Below are 6,760 nucleotides of genomic sequence, written 5' to 3'. Positions count from 1 at the left end.
AAAAAAAAAAAAAAAAAAAAAAAAATTGTTCCCTATAGTAATATTAAATATCTATTATGATCTCATGCTGAGCAGTTTATATTTTCAGTTTCTTGACTTTGGACTTGACCATATGACTTGCTTTAGCCAACAGGATGTTAGTAGATGTGATGTGACCCAAGACTTGATATGTATTTGTGTGTTGGGCTTGTTCTTTCGAACGCCTATCATAAGAAGAACATGGCTTGGGTAGCCACTGTGGGAGCATACTGGTCACACCTTGATCTAGAGCCAATCACAGTCCATCCCAGCCTGATCCTAGCCTAATTCCAGTTGATGCATATTTGTGAAATTAATTTTCATTATTGTTGTATGCCTTTGAAATTTGGTGTGATTTAAAACAGCACTATTGAGTAATAGTTGGGTTTAGTTCATAGCTATTACTGTGATCTCATTAAGCAACAATGTTCTTCCTCAAAAGTTAACATAAAAATTCATAACGTTATTTTCCCAAAGCTTCATTAATAGAGCATTTATTAAGTTTAAAAACAATTATTTGTGTATGTAATTAATTGGGAAGTAATTTGAGAATTAGTGGGAAATAGAAATAATAAATGGGCAATCTAAGATGCTGGAGAAGGCATAACAAATGTATAAACAATATTAAAAACACAAATGAAAATTAATGAGAACAAACAGTATGGCAGAGATAATAGGCTCAAATTGAATGATCTAAAAATAGAAAATTGGAAATGAAGAGCTTCTTAGTTGGTATTTTATTTCCTTCACAGACCATTTTTCTAACTTTTGCTTCAGGAAAGTCTACTTATTGGGGAATCTGAATTTGTGTGTCCTTTGACTTTTTATAAGCAAGTGTTTATAAAGGTTTGTTTAAGGTTTCCACTGATTTACTTTGAGAGTTCAATTGAGAATTGTCTAATTTTCATAGTATAATTACTTTCATTCATGTAGCAGTTATTTGTGTACCTGTTCAGAAAAAAAGTCACAATTCTCATTGTATAATTACTTTCATTCATGTAGCAGTTATTTGTGTACCTGTTCAGAAAAAAAAAGTCAACTTAAAGTTGACTTTAACATCTCTGCCTCCTTCAGGCTAGCTGTGTGTAGGGCGGGTGACGGAATTTTATAGTATTCTTTATGACTTTTAATGGTGTTCTTTTATACTTAGAGACTGGTAGTGAGAAAGAAAGAAAATAGTGTAACCCAAAGATGTTTGGGTATGTAATGTTTGCCAGTGTGGGGGAGGGCTACGTTTCCCTATATAAAAATGTGAGTGGATCTGATAGGTAAAGTTACCTTTAGCATTTAAAACAGGCAGATGGTAGGGTGGCCAAAAACTTTGAGGCAGAGGATATCTAATAATAAATAGCAGGATTTTTTTCTCAAATATAAATTTCTTCCTTTGTTCCAAACCTTCAATAAAGTCTGCAGCTCATGGAAATACCACTTGTGTGTGTCTGTGTATATGTGTGGTGAGGACAGAAGTGGGAGTAAAGAAAATAGGATAAGATCTGTATCTGTCAGTGGAGAGTAGAAAGAAAACATTTGTGGGTGGTGTTACGAGAGTGAATGTTAAAAGTTCAGTGGAATCACTGCCTGCCTCAATGGTTTTCAGCTTTGCTTGGATTTACCTGGGGAGGTTTTCTTAAAAAAACTGATGCCTTAGTCTCGCTCCCAGATATGCTGATATAACTAGTCTGGGCTGTGGGAATTCTATAACAAACAAACAAACAAAAATCCCCAGGTGATTCCACTTTGCAGCTAACGTTGAGTATCACTGCCTCAACATCTATAGCAAAGTTTTCCACCTTGATGGCACATTAGAATCACCTGGGAGTAATAAATGTGAACAACTGTGCTCTACCCCTAGAGATTCCAACTTAATTGCTCTGGGATGGAGGCAAGACAGTACCTATTGTCTAAGCTTCCCAGATGATTCTCATGTAGAACAGGATCAGATGAAGTCCCGAGAACATTGATAAGGCTCTATCTGCTAATAGAAAGAGTGCCCCAAAGAGTACAGGGTGCTAGAGTGATAGGAGGGAGATAGATAGATATGGAGCCCTTACTGGAAAGATAAAACCTTTACCCTATTCTGGCTAGAGGATTAGAACTCACTTCACACATCCACAAATTCATGAATGCTTACAAAGCGATGAGGAAACAGAAACTGTCCTGATGACTTGTCTGAATTCATGGGTGCTGTGATGTTGGGATTACATGAAAAGAGTTCAGGATTACATTCATTTTCACATGGTCAGAGCAACTGAATATACTAATTCAATAATAAGGGGGAGAGCATTTGTGCATGAGCAGTAAATCTTCTCAAGTGCCTTGACCTACAATTTAACTTAAAATCCCATCTGTAAGTTACATTGTTCCATGCCATAGTGTCAACACAAGAGAGGACCAAAAACAGAAAAACATGTTGTTGAAAATAATTGTGAGTTCATTTTAAGTTTCATTTTTCAAATAAATGATTGTCTTTTTCCCTGAATACATATTTCTTTAAGTTGTAGAAAAAGTCTTTGGTATTTTAAAAAAGATAAAATAGATTACAACCCTCGTTCTTAGCTTAATTCAATAATAGTTGAGTTAAGCTTTTATTGCTTTTTAATATTTTAATAAGACTTTTCATCTCAACTGTGCGGAAATCCATAGCTTAAATAAAGGCATACAATTAGTGAACATAAGAGATAGTCTTTAAATAGAGAAGATTAACATGTTGACGATTGAGTCCCGAATGTTAAACTATTGCAAAATTAGTTCTTCAGAATTCTTACAAGAATATAATTACAAAAATTTTTAAGAGAAATTTTTAAATTGAAACATCTAGCCTCATGTATTTCTAGTGTTACACTGAAATGATTCACTGTAGAAAGTGAAATTAGTGTAGACAAAATAAGGATTAATATATGACAATATTCATTAATGATACTGAAGACTACATGATGAGAAAACATTACTTAATCCATAGGAAGTCACTTAGCATTTTTGATATCTTCACACAGGTATGCTTTCTAATTAGACATTTCAGTAGTTCAGTTGAAAATATGAATGCAAACAAAAGGCTTGTAAAAATTATGCATGGAGTATTTAGAAACCTGAGCAAGAAACTGAAGGTCTTAGGGATGCAGGTGGTGGTTTAATTTCTTCTAATCCAAGGTCATAACTTTGGAAGATAAAGAAGGAACTGAGAAGTGAACAGCTGGCTCTGTATATGATGTCAAAGAACAGAATTTAGTTTTCTGGACCACGATGCATGATTCTAAACTAATGCTCCTGGCAAAAGAAAGTACATCTAATGAAGAGTGGGGAGAACATACTTGGCAGAAGATTTGCTGACCAGAACAAGAAGGCATTGATATATTAGTGGGTAGAGAAAAAGAACCAAACAAGCTGTTAAATTATACCCTATGGAGGGAAACAAGCTGACTTAGGAAGAGTAAAAATAGTGGAGAGGTGACCAGTAAATCAAGAGAGGCTAGCAGGAAAGAAGATAAACAATATTTGTGGCTTCATGGATTTACATACATATTCCCATAGTATGGATAATGGTGACATTTTAAATGAAAAGGTAAGTGATATTTGAATAATTTTATTATGATCTGATGGGGACGAGAATCTTGACTGGGTCATGTGATGGGAAAGTTATTTGACCCTGAAATCCAGTTTGTTTCTGCCATTAGCAAATATGCTGTATAATATAGGGATCATGGGGGTGGGACCTAAGAGGTTGGCCAGTGAATACACTGGTAAGACAGACTGAAGGAAGGATTAGAAGTGATTCTTTACCAAACAATTAAAAGTAGTACAGAAAGAGGCCAAGAGTGGTGGCTCATGCCTGTAATCCCAACACTTTGGAAGGCCAAGGTGGGAGGATTGCTTGAGTCCAAGGGTTCAAGACTTGGCTTGGGCAACATATTGAGACTCCATCTCCATTTTATGTATTTTAAAAATGTACTACAGGAGTGAAAACTGGGATTTTTCAAAGGAAATACACTTTGATTTGTCCCTTTTTTTTTTCTTCCACTTAGACTGGGACTTGTCAACAAATTTCAAGAAACTCAGGGAGTACAGAACATAGTTCAAGAATTTTGGATCCCTGTGATGAATAGTATGTAACAGAGAAAGGGATGATGATCATGACACAATCTAATTGCCATGGGGGTTGTGATGGAAATGAACAGACTTGGAATCAAGTAGAATCTGATGTTTCAGTGTCTACATGATTCTAAACGTTGTGGGCTTGATATTTACGTGAAAATCTTGCTTGGCAAAATTGTAAGTTTATTTTCCCATAGCTGAAATTAATTTCTATTCTGAATCTTCATTTTTGCCTTCCCAAAAACAGAAAAATTAGTCTGGTCTCTTCTGGATAAGAACAGTCATGTTATATTAACGAGTTTTCATCTTTTGGGGTGTAAATGAGGTCAGTCAGTTACTGCTCAGTCATTTCAGGTTTATAAGTCAAGCACATTCAAGATTTCTGCAATGCTCCCCAACCTTGGGGTTGATTTTGCAGGGAACTGGTCCTGCAATGTTAGTGGGGAGGAGGCATCCATTTCCTTCCTTTCCTGCTTCTTTCTGATACGCACAATTGGCCAGTCACGACATTTACTTAATAGTATGTAAGTGTCTTTACATACTATTTGTATATCTATTGTATATCTATGGCCTTGCTTTTTTTCTTTTTTTTTTTTTTTTTTTTTTGGTTTTGCTTTTGCTTTTGTATATCTGCCTTTGCTTTTGTGTATCTATGGCCTTGCTATTGTCCTGTCATTGTTGTCTACTGTAGTTGCAATCCATAATGCCCTCTCTGCCTGCCACCTTTCTCTGTGGGAACATTCTCACCCTGCTTAAAAGTATAGCTCAGGTTAAGCTAGTCCCCTGTACCTTTTCTGGATTTGTGCTATGGGCTTGCATCTCTCAGGACTTTTCTGCTACTAACACCAATTTCAATCATCTCTGTTCTTCTTTGTGTTATTGTAGTCTAGGGAACGTGGATGGGCTTTCTCTTAAAGAACCATGACCCAATCACCTGCCAAAGGTTGCACCTTATAATACCATCACCTTGGGGGTTAGGATTTCATGATAGGAATATTGAGAGGGAGCACAAATAATCAGTCTACAGGACTTGCTTATCAAAAAATTTTCCCTAAATGTCAGTCTTAAAATTAGATTTCTTGTTTAAAACGTTAAAACCAAGAAATGGAGTATTTTTTTTCTCTTTCTAACCTTGATATCCTCCCTTTCTTGAGGCAATGCTGAATGGATACCTTAAAGGTATTAAGATACATGCATGAAAAAAACAGGCAGTGTTTTACATATCATACTATAATAGATGTATTTTAATTCCAGTTATATTTATATTCTGAAAAATTTGTATTAAGGTCATGGGGAAGTCTTCATAAGCATGCCTGCCTATAACTTAAATATTTCCATAAGGGCATATTTATTAGGAAAACCAGCAATCTATTAAATTCTCTGAAAGGTTTTTTCACCAACAGTGGAGTTGCGCTGAAAAAATCAATGTCTCTTGTCCCCATTTCTTCACCTGTAAAACAAATAGTAAATGTTACCTATTGTCTTTCAGGAAGTTTTCCCAATGATTTGGATATTAGCAAAATATCTAACCAAGTATCTGAAAAGTGGCAGGTTCTCAATATTTGTCAACAGCTATTTTTGTACCATGATAGAAATCTTGGGGTCTTGGATAGATGCAGAGTAAAAATTAGAGAAAAATAAAGTTAAATAGTTTGGGGAGTGTTTTATATAGACTATTGAGACAAATAGCCTTTTCCTCACTGATGTCCACTAACCATCTAGAAGAATGACACATGGTAGGTGTTCAATAAATATCTGAATGAATGTAAATATTTCCTTTTTGGTTTTATATTTTTAATTGGTTGCTTTTCCTTGCATGTCTAAGAAGAATGATATGAGAACCTAAGGGAGCATAAAAGAGAAGTTGTAGAAGAAGAACATTTTTAGGAAAGAAGTATCAAGAAAATGTTTAATTGAATGGTGGTTGGCATTTGGAGTTTTATTGTAATATAGTGATCTGTGTTATACTTAAGGAATAGTAACAGGTTAAAGAAGAATAAATTTGGTGAAACTTAATATGGATGTGGAATAGAGTGTTGCTTACATGTAAAATGAATGAGATACTAAGACAGTCTCTAAGCAGCAACATTCTAATTTCAACCCGTGACTTCCCTGCGACCTCGGTGACCTAGAGGTGTTGCTTAAGTAGTAGAGTTTCTGTGGGAAATAGAGGTGAGTATAGCAGCAAAGTCCTTTAGAGTAGAATACCATAGCTAATTATTTCTCTTCTCTGGGAACTTGAGCTGTGTTAAGATGGGCAGGAAGAATAGCAATAGAATTAAGTATCTCCAAGCAAAACCTTTGAAAACAATCGTAATTATCTTTTTTGTTGATTGGGGCATCTCTTTTCAGAATCTGAGGAGAGATGAGAGGAATTAGAGAACTATTTTTTTCTACCATCACGGTGCTTCTGAAGACAAAGTGTAGTAGGTTTTTAGGTGCAAGCAACAGAAACTCAGCAGGACTAAAAAGAATTTGGTAAAGGATGTTGGAGAGCTCATGTAAACTCTGAGGATATGGGAGAAGGAGGTTTGAAACAGGCAGGAACTAACGCAGCAATAGCCAGGACCTTAACCAGAGACCGCCGTAGGAACTATCCAACTCCCAAACAAAGATGCTGCAGCTGGCAGAAGGATTACATATTGGAGGCCTT

The 6,760-nt window shown here is 35.6% G+C and overlaps 1 annotated feature.

Moving 5' to 3' along the window:
• Positions 1,614-2,179: an enhancer, noted in NCBI's record as "NANOG hESC enhancer chr2:184616415-184616980 (GRCh37/hg19 assembly coordinates)". NCBI's record gives its function as "activates a minimal SCP1, AML or CMV promoter by ChIP-STARR-seq in naive H9 embryonic stem cells {active_cell/tissue: H9 hESC(naive)}" and the evidence as "EXISTENCE:reporter gene assay evidence [ECO:0000049][PMID:30033119]".

The sequence above is a fragment of the Homo sapiens genome, chromosome 2 (assembly GCF_000001405.40).
Source record: "Homo sapiens chromosome 2, GRCh38.p14 Primary Assembly".
Classification (NCBI taxonomy): domain Eukaryota; kingdom Metazoa; phylum Chordata; class Mammalia; order Primates; family Hominidae; genus Homo; species Homo sapiens.
Note: the sequence above shows the minus strand (reverse complement) of the source record. Positions and strands in the feature narration are given on the sequence as shown.